This window comes from Homo sapiens, chromosome 3 (genome assembly GCF_000001405.40).
Source record: "Homo sapiens chromosome 3, GRCh38.p14 Primary Assembly".
Lineage (NCBI taxonomy): Eukaryota > Metazoa > Chordata > Mammalia > Primates > Hominidae > Homo > Homo sapiens.
Window position 1 is genome coordinate 186,070,073 of NC_000003.12, and position 19,672 is coordinate 186,089,744.

The 19,672-nt window shown below is 41.5% G+C and overlaps 1 protein-coding gene and 2 long non-coding RNA genes across 3 annotated transcripts in view, besides 1 other annotated feature; 1 reads left to right on the top strand and 2 right to left on the bottom strand.

Annotated features, from left to right (window-relative positions):
* Positions 1–19,672, bottom strand: part of ETV5 (ETS variant transcription factor 5) — a 62,776-nt gene that overhangs the window by 23,759 nt on the left and 19,345 nt on the right. The window contains exons 6-7 of the mRNA NM_004454.3: positions 10,974–11,103; positions 9,745–10,032 (exon numbers count right to left, since the gene is read on the bottom strand). Of these exons, the coding sequence (NP_004445.1) occupies positions 9,745–10,032; positions 10,974–11,103 (418 nt within the window). The remainder of the gene's footprint in view (positions 1–9,744; positions 10,033–10,973; positions 11,104–19,672) is intronic.
* Positions 6,750–9,737, bottom strand: LOC124909470 (uncharacterized). The gene is made up of 2 exons (XR_007096205.1): positions 8,960–9,737; positions 6,750–8,142 (listed from the first exon to the last, which is right to left on the bottom strand). It is a non-coding gene; the product is annotated as an uncharacterized LOC124909470 (long non-coding RNA).
* Positions 7,495–7,690: a silencer, noted in NCBI's record as "fragment chr3:185795356-185795551 (GRCh37/hg19 assembly coordinates)". NCBI's record gives its function as "represses an EF-1alpha promoter that drives an FKBP-Casp9 reporter gene in an ReSE screen in K562 erythroleukemia cells {active_cell/tissue: K562}" and the evidence as "EXISTENCE:reporter gene assay evidence [ECO:0000049][PMID:32094911]".
* Positions 9,098–10,875, top strand: ETV5-AS1 (ETV5 antisense RNA 1). The gene is made up of 2 exons (NR_046594.1): positions 9,098–9,269; positions 10,488–10,875. It is a non-coding gene; the product is annotated as an ETV5 antisense RNA 1 (long non-coding RNA).

Below are 19,672 nucleotides of genomic sequence, written 5' to 3' on the forward strand. Positions count from 1 at the left end.
AAGTGCTAGGATTACAGGTGTGAGCCACGGCGCCCGGCCGAAGATATTCTTAAGGCCTTATTTTTGTAAAGTGCCCACATCTTGTGCTACTTGAAAGGAATGGTAGTAACGCCTTCCATTTTCTCTCCCTTTCCCCTCTGCCACCATCCCAGCACCTTCGAAGGTGACCTCCAGAAATCAGTTCCTTTGATAGCTCCGAGATGGCATGTGCCGCTCAGTTCTGTAACCAGAGCCTCTGCAGCTGGCAGGCTGGTGGCCTCACTTCCGCTTAGTGCTCATCTTTTCTCACCTTCCAGAATGAAACTCTAGAGTTGGCCTGGTATGGCCTCCTCAGGAAAAGGTACTTCCACATGGGCACTAGCCAGCAACCTCATCCCCTCCCCGCGGCATAACTTTAAGGATGCGCAAAGCTTAGAGGCCTGTGATCTGCAGAACAGATTCTATAATTGGGATTGTTCCGTACTGGTTTGTCTTGAGACAGCAGGAGTGGCCAAGGGGGATCTCAGGGGTAGGTCACAAAGCCAACATATTTGGAAGAAAGATTCTCAGAGCTTGCTGCTGATAATGTCTTTTATGTGCAGAGATTAGTGAAGTCATTCAGTCCTTGTCCTCAAAATACATCCTGTGAACTTTACTCACTGACCTTCACTTGAACCACCCTCCCTTCTCCAGTCCTTTTGAAGTATCTAAGAATGTGTTGTATACATAATACAGCTACAACAAAGATGCCTCTAATTTACCAAGGCAGGCAATCACTTTCAGTGAAGGCACAGCCTGGTTCCTACCAAACCTCCTCTTCCTCCCCTTAACCTCCTCCCTTCCATCCACTCCCACCATTAGCCCAACAGAGTGCACGTGTAAGGAACTCACATTTGGTGAGCAAAGGGACTTCTGACTCCGAATAAGCCTAAATTCAATAGGTCACAGTTTAAGGCTTTTTCGGTGCCAGTTTATTTAAAGAACTAGTTATTTATTTATTTGTCAGATTTATATAGCGCCTTTCCTCCCACGAGCTCACCCACACTCCCAACATTTGGTTTACGTTATGAAAACCGTTAGATGCTTTTTCTGCATTTCCTTTCTGGTTTCTGCTGCCAGCACACAGAGTAAACACAATGCTCACAGGAAAAAAAAAAAGGAGAAAAGGATCTGACAGAGGTTATATAGTGATTATGGGTGCCAGGTGAAGCAGTGGCCGTTTAAAGGCCAGCTGAGAGATGATACATAAAATCTGCCAAGAAATCAACATCATGCACTTAGTACTTCCGTTAAGGCTCAGGGAAGAAGACGGAAAATCGAGAAGCAGCACAGCTGGGTAAGAGGCTGTGGCTGTGAAGTCAGAACATCCTAGGCTGAAGTCCAACCTTTACCACTCAGTAGCTGTGTGACCTTGGATGAGTTATCTAACCGCTCTGAAGCCTCAGTTTCCTCTCCAAAAAAATAAGGACAGCCAGGATACCTTGTAAAGATGATGTAAGATAATGTATGTTATAAGGCCCGGCCCTGTTATAACACTGGTAAGTTCTCAATAAACATTATCTTCAACTGCCCCACCTTCTCCCCACAACTCCCAAGCTAAAATCAGAAGATATGCAAATATGGCCAGGCATGGTGGCTCAGGCCTGTAATCCCCACACTTTGGGAGCTCGAGGCGGGCAGATCACCTTGTGAGTTCCTTACATGAGGTCGGGAGTTTGAGACCAGCCTGACCAACACGGTGAAACCTGTAACCGTTTCACCGTTGACATGGAGTGTCGCTCTGTCGTCCAGGCTGGAGTTCAGTGGCGCGATCTCGGCTCACCGCAACCTCCGCCTCTCGGGTTCAAGCAATTCTACTGACTCAGCCTCCCAAGTAGCTGGGATTACAGGTGCCTGCCACCACACATGGCTAATTTTTTTGTATTGTTAGTAGAGACAGGGTTTCACCACGTTGGCCAGGCTGGTTTCAAACTCCTGACCTCAAGTGATCCACACACCTCAGCCTCCCAAAGTGCTAGGATTACAGGCGTCAGCCTGTAGCAGTGGCTCAGGCCTGTAATCCCAGCACTTTGGGAGGCCAAGGTGGGCAGATCACCATGTGAGTTCCCTAAATGAGGTCAGGAGTTTGAGACCAGCCTGGCCAACACGGTGAAACCTGTCTCTATTAAAAACACAAAAAAATTAGCCAGGTGCAGTGTCGAATGCCTGTAAACCCAGGTACTCGGGAGGCTGAGGCAGGAGAACTGCTTGAACCCGAGAGGTGGAGGCCAAGATCACACCACTGCACTCCAGCCTGGGTGACAGAGTGAGACTCTATCTCAAAAAAAAAAAGAAAAAAAAGATATGCAAATAAAAGAGAAGATCTTAAGGAACTGGAAGACTATGACACACACAAACCATGCACAAATCAAAGGAGCCCACTGGTTGCCTTTTCAATATCCATTCTCCTTTTTCAGAAAGAGAATGCTGATTTTTATTGGAGGTGGCAATGTGCCAACTTCACAATGATGTTTATTTTCCTGCGATATAACGAAGAGCCAGACACTGTCCCTAAACGTACACCAAAGAACTCTGAAACAACTCCATAAGGCCTGCCAACATTGCTGAGACTCAAATGGGCCCATTTAAACTGTGAGAAGACATTGAGAGATAAGGAACAAAAAGCATGTCCTTTGTAGGCCTACCTGTTTGTCTGACTTCTCAAGATCAAATATGGGAGAGGGATGGTGATGAAACTAAGACATGTCCCCAGGATATCAGATGGTGAAAGTATTAGTTGTAGATATAACATTAATAACTTTGGCTGGGCGTGGTGGTGCACACCTGTAATCCCAGCACTTTGGGAGGCCAAGGCAGGCAGATAACCTGTCAGGAGTTCAAGACCAGCCTGGCCAACATGGTAATATCCCACCTCTACTGAAAATACAAAAATTAGCCGGGTGTGGTGGTGTACTCCTGTAATCTTAGCTACTAGGGAGGCTAAGGCAGGAGAATCGTTTGAACTCGGGAGGGGGAGGTTTTAGTAAGCCGAGACTGCACCACTGCACTCCAGCCTGTGCGATGGAGTGAGACTCCGTCTCAAAACAAAACAAAACAAAACAAAAAATATTAGTGTGATGATGAAAAGATCAGGGAGAAAGGCAGCATTACATTTTAAAAACTTAACATTAAACAATGAAGTTTCTCAGTTTGCGATACCTACATCATTTAAGGAAGTGTCCTTTAGTATAGTTTATGTAAAATAAAAGTGATTTTCAAAAAGTAAAATTGTCATAGAAGCTAACATTTACTGAACACCTCTGTCCAAGCGTGATTTTATTTAATCTACCCAACGCTTCTGTGTGGTATCTATTATCCTATTTTCAGACGAAGAAACGAAAGTTTGGAGAAGTTGAGTGCCTGCCTGAGGTCACACAGCAGCAGAGCGGCGATTCAACCCCAGATCTGTCAGTCTGTCCAACTCCAGAGCCACTGGCCTATACTGTTTCTACAATCATTTAAAAATACTCTCTGGATGAGAGATAATAAAAATCATATAGTCCAGGCAACCAGAAAAATCTCATACGTTTAGAAATTAAGAAACATATCTATAAAGAACTCCAAGGTTGAAAGAAATAATAGAAAATACTTGGAGCTGAATTTTTAAAGTACTGCAAATCAGAACCTGTGCAATGTATCTAAAGCAGAACTTGGGTAGGGAGATCAAATAACTGATTGTCCAAACCAGGATCCTTTGGAGAGTGCAAGAAGCTATTAGCAATCACTTCTAAACAAGGCATAGACAGACCATAAGTGACCTGGCAAACTTCCATGTACAGTCACCCCAGCCTTAAGAGAAATTTTATATGGTTTTGTGCTTACATATTATAAAGAAAAAGGGCTAAAAATTAGTGAGCTAATCATACAACAAATAAGTTGGAAAAACAGAATAAACCCAAAGAAAACAAAGAATAAAGTATTTTAGTGAGAGCAGAAATCAATGAAACAGAAAACACCCGAGAGAGAATAAGTAAGGCCAAAAGTAGATTTGTTGAAGACAATATTGTCTGCCAAGACTAAGGAAAAAAAAAGGTCTATATAAATAATATCAAAAATGAAAAAGACAACTACAGATGCTATAGAGATTTTAGAAAGGGCACCATGAATAACTTTATGTCAATTAATTTTAAAACTCACACAAAATGGACAACTTCTTAGAAAAATTTATTTATTAAATTTATTCAACTAAATAGAAATCCAGGGCAAAACTGTAAAATGTGAAGACACTGAGCCAGTAATTAAAAATCTTCCTACAAAGAAAATGCCAGGCCCAAATGGTTGTTAGCAGTAAATTCTTCAAAAAGTTCAAGGAATAAAGACTTCCAATTTCACATGAGATGTTCTAAAATATAGAAAACGGAAGACACCCTCTACTCATTTGATGAGTATAACCTTAATGCTAAAACCTAGCAAGGACAATATAAGAAAGAAAAATTATGTACTTTCTCAATCATGAAGACAGATGTGGAAGTCTTATATATTTATATTAGAAAACCCAAACTCACCAATGTACAAAATATAATACAGAATAAACAAGTTAGGGCTGGGCATGGTGGCTCATGCCTGTAATCCCAGCACTTTGGGAGGACGAGATGGGTGGATCACCTGAGGTCAGGAGTTTGACAGCAGCCTGGCCAACATGGTGAAACCTTGTCTCTACTAAAAATATAAAAATTAGCTGGGCGTGGTGGTGCCCGCCTATAATTCCAGCTATGCACCCAGATGGCGCCACTGCACTCCAGCCTGGGCGACAGTTAGACTCTGTCTCCAAAAAAAAAAAAAAAAAAAAAAAGAATAAACAAGTTAGGTTTGTCACAAGAATGCAAGGTTGGTTTCATATAAATCAGTGTAACTCACCATATTAAGAAATTAAAGGAGAAAATTATTTGATCACCCCAAAAGAGGCAGTATAAATGTTTAATGAATTTCAACCTCTGTTCATGTTAAAAAACTTTCAGTAAACTGGGGATAAAAGGAAATGTCCTTTAGCTTGTTAAAAGGTAACAAGAAGCCTACAGTAAACATGATGAAATGCTAAAAACAAACCCTCTTAAGACTCAGAACTAAAAAAACCTACGCACTCTAACCATTACAAGAACATCATTCAGTCTGTCAAAGAAGGATCCATTAAGCATCCATGAAACTCAGTTTCAGATCCCAAAGTGAATCTGTGCTGCCATACACAACATGTTATTAACAGGCACTTGGAGAAGAGATGCATCAGGCACATTCACTTTATTCCAGGCCAGGCTACAAATGTGACTTACAGTCAAGTTCATTCCTCTCTAAAAATTATTGTACTACAAAATCTGAAGGACAAAAAATGAATAGCAATTTACTTTAAGGGTAATGAACTTTAAGAGAGGAAGAAAAAACAAGAGGAAAAACGAGTATATAAAATCTCTTAATTTATCTAGCATCCTTAAGGAATTGGTAGTTTTTGTTAAATCAAAATTCCAGAAAACTTAGCCCATCCCTTTAAGCTCTGAATCCTCAATAATAACCACCGAAGCAGACGTTCTTGACATTCTCAAACAGCTTAGGCTGTTTCCTCCTTCAGAAGACACTACCCAGTTGACCTTTTCCTGATGACTCCAGCACTACACATTTTGTTCTGTCAATTACAGCATGCTAGCCTACCACAATACTGATGCCCTTAGGGGCTATCCAGAAGCAGAGGATTCTTCAGGTACAGGAGCATTTTCTTAAATGTTGCTGCTTCTTGGGTTTTAACCTCTTTGGTTGATGTCAAGTAAGTGAGAAAGCAGTGTATTCCAAAATTCTTAGAGATACATTTTTCTTAGTGGAGCTTCTTCAGTTGAATTGCAGGGCTTTCCTCAACTCAAGATATAATGAGATACGGTTTAATAAAAGCCAAAAATATATACGGCCAGTACTATAGGAATATTTTTCTAAGTTCCTCCACCCAGCACATGTAAACATCATAAATAACACAATGAGAAAACTCACAAGATTGGGAAGGCTGAAGGAAAAAACATTTTTTCAGCTGGTCTTTCAGGATAAGTGGCACATGTCTGAACATGTCAAATTACATGTCTTTTCCCCTCTCCTTGTGGGGAGGAAATCACTGGTATAAATCATGGCTTTCAAACACAGTATTTATCTTCTAAAAATAAATTGAGTTGTGAAGAATTACATGCTAAGACTATATAAAACATTAAGAATGTACTTTTTTCTTTCTTCATTATTTTCTTAGAGATGGGGGTCTCACTGTGTTGTCCAGGCTGGAGAGCAGTGGCACAATGAGATCATGGGAGTTTTGACCTGCTCTGTTTCTGACCCCTGGGCCAGCTCACCTCTGCTTAGACAATTTGGTGGTCCCCACTCCCAGGAGGTCACCATATTGATGCTAAACTTAGTGTGGACACCTGATAGATCGGCATAGTGTACTACAGAGCCCAGGACTCCCGAGGGCAAGTGATCCTCCCACCTCAGCCTCTCAAGTAACTGGGACTACAGGTGTGTGCCGCCATGTGTGGCAAGGGTGTACTTTTGACTAGATTACATTTTAGCTATTTACGGTATAATTTTAGCAAACTTTTATCACTATCAATAAACATATACTGAGGACAAATAAGGTACAAGGCTAAATGTGGCCTAAAGAAAGGAGTCTAAATCACAGGTTTTTATCCTCAAAGAGCTTACTCTATTCAACTGAACAGATACGGCACACCCAGCAAAACAAAAAAGACACATGTTAAGCACATGGGTTTGGATTAAATGATGTAGGAATTTATTAAGATTTTGTAGTTGAAGAGATAGATAGAACTTAAAAGTATAATAAAAAAACAGATAATGTTCAAGGTCAAAACAAATTTATCAAGGTCAATTACTCAGTTTTTATAGTAGACATTAGTGGATGTTAGCAGCCCAAATAAAATCATAACTGAAACAAATGGCGTAATTACACGTCATGGAAGTTTTTGGTTGCTGAATGTAGGACCCTGTATTTGGCTATGTGAGCTTTAGAAAGTCCTTTAACTGTGCTGAGGCTTGATTTCTAACCTATAAAATGGGTTTTTTCACTCTGCCTATGTCACAGGGCGGTTAAAAGTTTCAAATGAGACTCTCTTTACTTCTATCATGCAAAATACCATATATTTGTATTAGGGATTTCGTTTTGAAGTAATAGTCCCTCTAATCTTAATAAAAAGTTCTAAGCCAAGAGACAACCTATAGTCACCAATAAAAGTAATCTGCCCCACTTTTGGGCAGGCATAAAAGTTATTAAATATGTGATTATGAAGCTTGATATTATCCATGACTGTAATTTCTATTACTTTTACAAATATCAAACCAGGGATTTTGGTCTGTCTCATTTTCTGTGTACTATCCAGTATCTAGAAGAAAAATCACTGTCACGTTTTTGATGCGTTTTATGTCACATAGATATCACGTGGATGACCATATTAATAGACAAAGGCAGTAGGAATAGAATTTGGTAATACATGCTTTAAATAAAGGTAGGGTGGAATAAGGATGAGGGTAGAGAGAGCTGGATCACAATTTCTCAAAGTGTGACAAGACTATATCCAGGCCCCGCCCCAGGCCCACACACTCTATCTCTGAATGTTAACAAGGACTCTGCATTGAAAATCCCCGCTCCACACTCCCATGGGGACTCCTGTGCACTTTCAACTTTGAGAGGACAGCACTCTTGAGTGGAAATCCAAGTGCCCAGTGTTGTTTGTAATCGATTTGGTCACCTACAGAATTCCTCCCCCTTCACCTCAATTACCTCAAGGATCTCTGTATCACCCCAGTGTGTGTGTGAGAGCTTTGAATTTTAGACCCATCAGTCTCAAAGGCAGAGTATAACAAGAAGTAAGTCCAAAATGCACAGGCAGACTTCAAGGAGGAATCACCCAAGAAAAGAAATACCTGCATTCTGGTTCCCTCCTCTCTTCCTTTCAACACCCACGGGCAAATAACTCATCAATCCCAGGAATCCAAAACTCCTTCCTTCTCAGGGGGCTGGGTGGACTGGAGACAGGCTTATTTCACAGCTGAGACTGGGGCTACCCATCTCCCAATTCTCCAGGAGAACTAGGATATTTGTCTCCCAACTCAGTTAACTGTTAATACAGTATGTTACATAAGCCCCTTGGATAAAAAACAAGGATTGAGGGGGAAATATTAGATAAAGGAATTTTCTTTTACAGTTCATGGTATAACAAATAGAAGTTTGCTAAGAGTTTCAAATACTGAATATATACTCGACCCCACACTTCCTCCCCAATTTCCCCATAACCCTTGCAGAAAATCAGCAAGATGCTGTTTAAAAACACCAAAAAACCATTGAAATAAAAATGATATCTAGGCCAGAGTTCACAAATTGGCAGGCCTGCAGGGTGATTTTGCCCAGAGAAGTTTTGTTTAGTCTGCAGAGGTGTTGTTTTTAATTTGAATTAGTTGCCAACTTAAAAAAAAAAGTCTACAATTTTTACATAAAAAACCAAGTAACCAAATTCTTCTGCACAAGTACAGGTTGTTAGTACAAGGTAACAATTGCCAAAAGCTCAGCGGCAGCTGTGTCCTCCAGATGAGTCCCCGGTGGCAATAGAGGCCCACTCCAGAGCCAGCCCCCCACAACCCCGTCAGTGCTCACCCCTTGAGCCCTGTGTAACACAGGCGTTCGTGTTCCTTGGCCTAACCAAGGAATAAACAGCAACCAGCCATATTTTGCCGTTCTTAATGGTGACTTTCAGAGCAAAACGGGAAGGGGATCAGAACCAGACAAAGGGACCTTATTTTTTCCCCTGCATTTCATCTAGAAATAAAATGACCTCCAAGTAAATACTGGTAGGCATCTGGAATGGACCAGGCCTGGGAAAGGTATACTCATATATTCTTCCCACTCCCGCCCCATTGTGGCCCCCACACCGATCCACCTAACACAAGATAGATAGATATGAAATACCATGGCCACCATCTTGCATCCTTTGGTAATATTGTTGACAACTACCCCCCTATCCCAGAGAAACTTGAAATAAAGACAGGCCCCCAGCACATCTTCTATAAAAGAAGGCCACAAGCATCCGAGATTCTAGAATACCACAGATAAAGAGGTCAGGTTTGGAGTGTGCAGAGAAGGTTCCCTTCACACACTTTTTTGACAAATGAATGACTCTGGACAAGTTACTCCTGATGCCTCAATGCCTGTAGAAATGTAAAAACCACCTGCAGTGTAACCAGGAGATTTCTATTTCAAAAGCAGATGTACAAATAAGGTCCTTAGCTAATCTCCTACTGTTAAAACATGTTAAAATCAGATAAGTAATATTACCTTGTATAAATCAGCAATTGTCCCTTATATGTAAGTGAAATGGTAATAACTGAAGTTCAATTCTATTAATAGTAGGCAGCATCCAATGAGGAGTCAGGAACCTGCCCTCAGTGAGGGACAAGACTATCCTGGCAAGTCATTCTTCCTCTAGTTCTGTGAGACGGGAGAATACCAGTTACCTCTCCCTTACCTACTTTATAAGGATGTCGTAGTCCATCAACCATCTGGAGTACCTTGGGAACAGGGTGGTATATAAACAGTCATATTCGTATTATCATTAGTCTTGCCTCACAAGCTGCCTCAATGTAATGATAACTTTTTAGGAACCTGGTAAATAAGACAAACTGCTTCCCCTCTCCCAGTGAGAAAGGATAGGAGTGAGGGAGACAATTAAGGAAGAAGCCCAGATCAACACCCACCTCTGTTCTGATGGATACTGGTTTTCAGGCATCATCTTTGGCATCTGCAGGGGCTGATGTGGTGGTCGGGGGACCGCAAATGTTTGCTGCTGTGGTCCAGGCTCTGGAAGCGAATGGGGGGCGGGGGCGGGGCCCACACCTTGAACTGGGCCAGCTGCAGGGGCATGCCCTGAGGTGGGCAGAGTTGCCTGAGGTGGGGGAAATAGGGGATTCTGATGGGTGGGTGAGAGGGGGGTTGTAGGAGGGGTTAATGGCTTGAACCCAGAGGGAGGCTTCCTATCATAGGCACTGTAAACAGAAAAAGAGAAGGAACCATTAAGCTGAAATGAAGCCATTAGCATGGTTACCAGGTCCAGCAGAAAGCTAGTTTGCAGCCCATTGTTGCCAGGAAATAACAGCATTAACATAGTTAAATCGCTCGTAGCCCCGAGGGGATATTTGTACCTCTGAAAAGTGACAAACACACTGCGTCACAGGGACTTGTTTAACACTTCTAGTGATTTTTCTCAAGGATAATTTTAGCCTCTGCTTCCGGTTTCCTTTTTCCCTCCTTCTAAAAGAATTCTCCGTGTATGCCTGTGTAGGGTGGGTGGGTGAGGGGAGAATGTATGTTTGCCAGGTGTTCTCTGGTCCCCTCTCCCAACTATTTCCAGGGTTCCCAGGAATTAGTCAGAATATGTGTTGAAGGTCTGTTTGTGCTGTGACATCATTTGAATTAACAACTCTTCTCCTCCCCCTTTCAGGCAAATCTATGTTTATCTTCTAGAGCAAAGAATGATTTAAAATTAAAGCTTCATTCCTGGGGCCTGGATATTCTTAAGTAAAGGGCACAAGCTTCAAGACTTTTTCATATATTCTGATTTGGAGATTACTTCTCTGGTGCTTAAAGTTCACATTAACATATGATAGACATGAAGAAGTATATATTACCTGCCTCAAAGCCACAGATCAAGTATCCCAGGATTGAGACTCTTTCCCTAGAAGGACTGGGTACCCTATGAACTTAGTGCTCTGTAGAGCCACAAGGTTTTTAATGGTTTTCTTTTGTGTGCAGTACAATGATCCCAAGGGGACTGGACTACACCCGGAGGATGACACTGCCATGAAAGAAGGATATGTTTTACCACAGGGTCTGCTGGGTAAGTAACACTGGGAAGGAACATTCAGCTTGATGGCTACTTCCAGAGCCTTTCTGGGCAGCCTTTCTTCGACTCCTCTTGCCCACTCACCAATAGTTGTAGAGGCACTTTTCTCCATAGTTAGCACCAAGAGCCTGCTCATGGCTACAAGACGACAGCTCAGAGGAGGGGCTGTGCAGCTCCCGTTTGATCTTGGTTGGAGGTGGGGCATGAAGCACCACTGAAATCAGAAGAGGGATGAGAGGGGAATAGAGAGAGAACAGCTGATTAACAGGGAGCACAATGCTTCCTTCTGCAAACCTTCTAACTAGCTGATTGTTCTTGGAACTCATGTCAAGTCACATGTCAGAAAAAGCAAAACGCTTAAACACACAACCTCCCATCCAAAGCCAATTAAATTCTTCAAAGTCAGAAAAAGTATCATCATCTGATACTTTTAATTAGCCAAGTCTTTTTTCCCAAATTTCTTTGGTCATGGGTCTTGCTTTCCAGAAGCTGCAAAATCCTTAAAAACCTTGCAGGTAATGGGTCTCCACCAAAAATGCAAGTGGCTGCAGACATGAAGAATTTTGTTTCCAAAAAGGACAAAACGACCAAAAATGTGTTGGTAGACATTACCAACACATTTAAGCTTATCAAAGGCTTAAAATTGCTGTGGCAAATATATTTCTTATTCAGATGCATATTTACAAATTAAATATAGAATTTTTAAAAAGTCCTTTCTCAAGTAACTTTAAATATCAGCTCTCAGCAAGAAATACTCAACTTTAGAGGCATTCCAAAAATTTTAAAAGCAAAGGAATAAAACAACAGACCAATCCACCACCTAGGAAAGGCTAATGAATACAGAAAGCAGAAAGCCTGGCTACCTTTGTGCTTACAACATCTGCTCCAGGCCTGTCTCAGTGACCGACCAGCAAGGGTAGGTTTGCGTAACCAGTCCTTTCATAGATGGTGCAGTGAATTTTGCTGAATTCATGGAATAAATACATGGAGCTACTGCTTTTGGCTTGGAAGCCAACTACATATACCACATAGGATTCTGAGAGGGCAGAGTAACAAGAATTTTTCAAATCAAGGTGATTTACATGTAGTGGCCAAAATAAACCCAAAGAACAAAAAACCGAGTTTGCCTTTTCTGTCTTCTCTAGGAGCTAAATTGTTGCAGAGACAGCATTTTATCCAAAGTGGAAAGATGCATTTTGCGCTATAAGGGCTGCCTTCTAGTTGAGTTAGAATGGTTACTCCTTGTCTAGCTACCTTGGAAGGTGGGGAAGGAGAGCAAGTTAAGCTTCTATGCTGGCCACTGGCCACTGTATCAAAGGTCTCATTAAATAGCTAACTACAGTCAGTGGTCTGGTGACCCAGTAACATTTTCATTTTGACTCAATGTTTACTCCTAAAACATCTTTAGGAGTTACTTCTTAGTAATTATACGAGGTAGAACTAGCTAAACAAATCATCACTTTTCTCTTTTTTTTTTTTTTTTTGAGACGGAGTCTTACTCTGTCGCCCAGGCTGGCGTGCAATGGCGTGATCACTGCAACCTCTGCCTCCTGGGTTCAAACGATTCTCCTGCCTCAGCCTGCCGAGTAGCTGGGATTACAGGTGCCCGCCACCATGCCCAGCTAATTTTTGTATTTTTAGTAAAGACAGGGTTTCACCATGTTGGCCAGGCTGGTCTCGAACTAATGACTTTGTGATCCACCCACCTTGGCCTCCCAAAGTGCTGGGATTACAGGCGTGAGCCACCGCACTCGGCCTAAACAATCATCTCTTTTCTATTAATATCTGATAAGGCTGAACTATCTTCCAGCCAACTGGCCTCTCAGGTGCCTCTATAATCCCAAATTCTGAATTCAGGATTGAATACGAGACAGATGACTCTATCACAGATGACAAGGTTATAAAGCAATGTTGCTGCAAAGTCTTGCCAGTGACTGACTGGAAAGGACAGGTTTTCATAATTCTTTTCTTATATAATGCCAACTGCTTTTCCTGAATACATAAAATAAGTTGAGAACTAGCAGATTATATTTAGAAGTCATTAGAGTTTCTCTCGTGATTTTTTGATGGTGACATCATGGCAGCCAACACTCAATTGTTATCAACTGTTTCAGATATTCAGACACAGAAAATAGCGAAGCTTGTTTGAATGTTGCTAGTAAATGAGAATTTGACACAGAAATCCCTTCCTCCAACACAGTAGATAGTCTGGCAGTTCTCAGCACTGCCCCGTGGTCACTGCCCTTCCTCTCACCAGTCTTCTGCTATAAAAGTTTTGGCAAAATAATGAGGAAAGGTAATGATGACCCAATTTAAACAAAAGCTACATGTCCTTGAAACGTCTACTTTTCTTGCTTTATCTAAAGATAATCATTTGCAATCACCACTTTACCTAAGTTTGGAAAGAAAACAATTAGGGTATTATTGAATGGTCTGATTTCAGGTTTTAGAAGTGTCTTGACATTGTCACAATATTATTATAACAGTTACCAATTTTGCTGACAAGTCTAACACCAGAGGGTATGCCAAAGTTGCCCAGAAACACTTTGTATTTGTTTCAGGAACTGCACGTATCTAAAAGGATCTAAGCTGCCAGCGAATTCTGATGTCTTGATTTCTTCAAATCCAGACAGTACTTAGTGTGTACCACATCATTTTGGCTCTAAATTATATAGTACCTTCTACCCCAAAACGTCTTATATGTGGAATAGTATATTCTTTATACAAAGGGGGAGTTCAAAAAGTATTTTTGTGAACAAATGGATTATATTTCCAATTTGTTCTTAACCGTGAAGGCAGGGACCACATCTACCCTACAAGGCTGGGTACAATGTTAGTTACATATACTTTCCCCGCAGGACAAAACATGGCAGGAACAAGAATGGAAAGTTTCACAGATCTACACTGACAGGAAAGCCATGAGGGGCCCTGTGAGTGGTGAGGAACAAGGCTCAGCTCCTCAAAGGTCTGTGGGACTAGAGGATGTGTGAAGGAGCCTAATTCTGGCATGTGTTAGTCAGAGATAGTGGTGTATTTAAAGCAGGAACTCAGAAGCCAAGGAATGCTCCTTGCTTTCAGTCTGTTTCTTCATTTGTAAAATGAGGTATGTGATGCAGCCTTGAGAAATAAAGAAAAGGGCACAGCACCTTGCAGATGGTGCTATGATGTTGTGTAATTATACCCTGTGCTTTCAAAAATAGTATTTACCTTTGCACAGCTGACTTGCTAAATGATGACAGAGACCCAGGACTATAAAGGATGGCAACAAATTGGAATTGAAAAGGGATCATGAACTCTTGAGGAAGTTTGAAAAGAAATGCTAAAAAAAAAAAAAAAAAAAAAAAGTTGACATTTGAGCTAATAAACATCTTCTGCAATTAGAAACTTTGAGTTTAAACTCAGAATTGTAGAAGAGGGGCCCACAAAGTCAGTGGTGCCCTGAAAATAATTCCTGCTGAATGTGGACTACCTTCTTTGTCATGAAGATCTTTCTTTCTGTCTTCATTCATTCATTCATTCATTCATTCATTCATTCACAGAGTATCTTCGATGGGCCAGGTATTCTGGATGTCGGGGGCCTATGATGCTAAGCAAAACAGACATGGCTGGCCCGCATAACTTAGTGAGGCATCTGACTTTTAGCATCTTCTCAACGATGCAATCAGAGATAGATTAGGGCCTCAGTATGCTGAATTCAAGCCCTCACATTTATAGATAAGGATCCTGAGGCCCAATGGAACTAAAGGGCTTAGGGGTGCTGCTATTCGAGGGGAGAAGAGGCAAGGGCCTCCGCACTGTCATTTTAGTCATCTTCTACCACACTGACAGAAATGGGAGATACTCTACTCGCTCACTTTGTACATTAAAAATAGAAGGCATAAACCTTTTTTTCAACTAAACAAAAATACCACTTACACCTGTTTAACAGAATATGCTCTAGAACAAAGGAAAAATGGATGAGAAGAACTAATACCTCTGGAAAAGAACAAAGAAGGCAGACCAAGAAAGAGGCAGCCAGCCAGACCCCTTACCATTTCCTTTATGCCCAGTTGCTCTTACATACATCATTTCACTCAATCTTCCCAATTCAATGAGAAAGCTATTAATGCTTCCATTGTCTTCATTTTACGAACACGAAAACAAGGCTCAAAGTCACTTGCCACGTAAAGGCTCAAAGTCACTTGCCACGTCTCACAGCTGGTCAGTGGCCAGGATTCCTACCTATGCAGTTCTTAGTCTTTTCATTATATTGGCTCCCAGAAGGAATCTGAGAGAAAAAAGACCAATCAAAGAGAGAATAAAAGATAAAGGGAAAGAGAGAAGGAAGACAATACGGGAGAAGACAACAGAAGGATACTTTTTTCCAGCTCTCAGGGCTGTATCCTCATGTTTACCCTACACTCCCCAGTGCGAGCCACACGTCATACCCCTAAATCCACTCAAGGACTTACACCTTTGTCTGGCTCTGGGATACCAAAATTAACCAGGATCTCTATTTCACCTCCATTGTCACAAGCAATGCCATCTCTGACTCCAGTAGCCTTCGTTTTTTTTTTTTTTTTTTGAGATAGAGTTTCGCCCTTGTTGCCCAGGCTGGAGTGCAATGGTGCAATCTCGGCTCACTGCAACCTCTGCCTCCCGGGTTCAAGTGATTCTCCTATCTCAGCCTCCCAAGCAGCTGGGATTACAGGCATGCACCACCACTCCCGGCTAATTTTTTGTATTTTTAGTAGAGATGGGGTTTCACCATGTTGGTCAGGCTGGTCTCAAACTCCTGACCTCAGGTGATCCGCCTGCCTCGGCCTCCCAAAGTGCTGGGATTACAGGCGTGAGCCACCGTACCCGGCAGCCTTCACTTTTTGTAATCCTTGCCTCCCATTCTAGCATTCCATCTAAAAGATCTCACTCTCCCTTCTATAGTCGAGCTGATCAAAACATTCTGCTCATTCAGACAGCTACCAGCACTTCAGAAGACCTGGCATCTTCTATAGCCAGTCACTACCACCCAGACTCCGCACTGCAGCCATGGATGCCATCTCTCTCCCCAGAAGCCCTGCCCTGCCCTGCAATTGCTTCTGGACAATTGTCTTACTACCACCACTGAGGCAGGAAGATCTTGCGTGAGCTGTCTGGACCCCTATTTGACTATAAGAACTCTGCTAAGGATCTATGCACAAATATATATGACAGTCTTAGCTCGTCAGGGGTAGAAAAAAGAAGGGCAGTTAGCTGATAAGATGTAATTAAGTCCATATCTGTGGGTATGCACAATCAAGTACATGTATTGCCTTGCAGACAACCATAACACCATTTTAAATTTAGATGTGATGCTCACAAGTCAACCAATTTCATAGTTGCTTTTCTTATTAGACTACGGAACTCCTTAGATTTTTCTATCTGACACAGGGATCAAAATCCAAGCCTGGTCCTAGCCAATGCAATAAGGCAAGAATAAACATAAGGCAAATTAGAAAGAAGGAAAGAAAGCTGTCATTATTAACAGATGGCCTGGTTAGGTACATAGAAAATATAAAAATATCCACAAAGTATAAGAATCAGTAAGCAAGGTCATTGGCTATGAGGTCAACATGTAAAAAAACTTTTAGTATACAGTAACTAAAACAATGTGAAATTAAAAGCATACACAATATCAACAAAATCATCAAATAGCTAGGAAAGTGTCAATAAAAGACATATAAGATGTCTACACTGGGCCAGGCATGGTGGCTCATGCCTGTAATCCCAGCACTTTGGGAGGCTAAGGTAGGGCAGATCGCTTGAGCCCAGGAGTTTGAGCCCAGCCTGGGCAACATAACAAATTCCTGTCTCTACAAAAAGATACGAAAAAAAAAAAAAAAAATTCAGCCAGGACTGTGGTGTGCACCTGGGGTCCCAGCTATGAGGTAGGGTGAGGTGGGCGGGTCACTTGAGCCCGGGAGGCTGAGGCTACTGTGAGCTGTGATCATGCCACTGCACTCCAGACTGGGCAACAGAGTGAGACCCTGTCTCAAGAAAAAACAAAGAAAAAAGATGCCTACACTGAAAACCACAAAACACTAAGAAAAATTAAAGAACTCTCAATAAATGGAAGGATAGATCATGCTCGTGGATTGGAAAGCTTAACATTATAAAGATATCGATTCTTCCCAAATTTATCTATAGGTTCAGTGTAACCCCCAACAAAATCTTAGCATTACACAGAAGGGAGAATGAAGAAATTGCAATTATGCTTAACAACATGGATGAATCTCACAAATATGCTGAGCTAAAAGAAGCCAGACACAAAAGGGTACATGCCATGTAAGTCCATTTATATAAAGTTCAAAAAAAGACAAAACTAATCTATGGTGTTTGAAAGTCAGGAGGGAGGTTACTCTCGACGGGGTGGTGCCTGTTAAGGGGGCACAGGAGTCTTCTTATAGTCTGATAAGTTCCGTTTTCTGATCTAAATGCTTATACCGTTTGTAAGAATTCATCATGCAGCTGTACTCTTGTGATTTCTGTATGTTACTTCAATTAAATTTCTACTTTTTAAAAAAGCAGCCTGGTCCTCATCAAATAGCACCACAGAGTTAATACTAAAATATATCAAATTTTAGAAAATCTTTCTTCTGTGATGGTCTAGAAACAGTCTTCCAAAGAAACAACTCAGTTGTTTTAAAATAGAAAAAATAAACTGGTCCATTCAAGAGAAATAATAATTCCCTCTGCTGACAAAAGCTGTTTACTGCCCACAAGTACAGGCCTGTGGACTGTTCAAGGCGGCCACCCCATGCCCGTGCTAATGGTAAACTTCACTATTACAGCCCCAAGGATCAAGACGTAGGAAAACACTTTTGTTGAATGTTATGATGAGCAACAGTTCCATTCAAAAGCATTTTTTTTTTTTTTAAGAAAGACGAAACCCATCTTGTCTAATAAGGCTTTCTTTGGTGTTTCATAATCATCAAAGTTTCAATTTGCCACAGACTTTGTTGTGAATACATAAAACATTTATGTAGCTGCTGAGTGTTAAAGAAATTGCCAATTAGTTACCCTGCGGTCTGAAGGGAAGAAGGACTAAGCCCATCCAGATTTCTCCTACTTCACACACAGGCTTTGACCGCCTTCCAGCAGTTGCCATCCTTCACGTTCTGTTTTGGGGTTTTCCTTGTCCCTTCTTCAGTTTCATTTACCTTCATCTGGCCCAGACTCATCTTTCCCAAATCAGCTGTGCAGGCCTGACCTCCAGGTCACACTCAACTGTCATTATCCTCTTAGTTCACATGGAAAGTTGTGTCTCATGACAGAAGCTGACCAGAGCACTGACACGTGCTTCTGAATGGCGTGTCCATGAGGCTGCAGCTCAGGGGGCTGGCCTAGGTCTCCAGAGCCTCCCATTACACTTGAACAAATATGATGTGGAATGTACACAAATAGTAATGGCCATACACTGCTCAGGGTTCCAGAGCCATCATCCTGAAATGAAGGCCTTCTCCTAAGTCTCCTGGCCACCAGCTTTGGGTCACTGCTCCTCTCTGTGACCACTGCCATCTCACTTCCTTTCCCTCTAGAGGAAGAATTACATACTGCATAGTCCAAGAATGGGGGTGGGAGGGGAGAGAAGTCCGAGACACCTGCCCATACTATTAATATTCTGTGGTTGTGGGAGTGAGTAGAACACAGGGAAAGAAGGTAGAGGAAAAGATGATCAAGAAGAGGGACATGGAAAAATAACAAGGACACTGGCAAAACAGAACCGAAAAATCCACCAGGGAAGAGCAGGTATGACCTCTTTTTCCCTGATTTGCCCTTAACTTGTCTGAGTACTCCACTGGCAAAGACCAGAGGGCTTTAAGTCACAGGAGGGAGTGTACCTTGTGCTTCCAACATAGTGCTGCCTACTCTTAGCTCTTGCCTTTTTTGACGAATTTTGAGACAAAGCTCAAATACCTAGTTAGCAGGAAAAAAGATGTAGATAGGGTAAGACTTATTTTTTAAGTTCTACAGTATTACCAGAGAGGGTCAGAAATATTTATTTTAGGACTGAGCAGATTAAAAACTCATTTTACACATAAAATCTATTATACCTCAATATTCTTTGTAACTGCTCTAACAGCACTAGTGAATGACTCTAATAGTAGATAATACTCTGTTCTGGGAAACAAGAAGGTTCACAAGGAGATAAGGTTAAGTGGACAGGTTCTGGCACTTAAAAAAGAATATCTGGAAAAGGAGATGTCTGGATTTCCAAACCAAATAAGAGGCATGCTCAAACTTGTTTAACATTGATCCTGCCTGGCAACAGTTTCCAAAAACAAAAATTGACAATGTTATCAAATTTAGTTAGGGGACACAAGTTCTAAAAGCAGAATTGGTGTAGGTATGGAAGAATGTGCCGTTTTTCTTTAATATCTCACACAGCTAACCTGTGTAAGGATAAATTCTCAAATTTAATAGGTGAAAAATCATCCACAAATGGTAAAATCAACTATTGAGCAAGCTGTGCTAAAAACCGTTTAATGAGCCCCCCAAAAGCCCTCTCCTCAAACATGCACAAATGATCTCTGACCCAATTATCTCCATCTGTGTCACTCTGTTCTTTCACCACTGTTTTAAGGTCAACACAAATACATAAATGTGAGAAGTGAGAGAATCAACAATATTAGAGATTTCTAAGCCTAAGGGCAGCATTTCTGGATGCTGTTTGCATTTCTATATATTCTTTAAAAATGGACCCTAAAAAAGTCAGCGACTGGCCAAGACTTCAAAAAAGTCACTGTTACAGGGAAAATAAAAAAGCT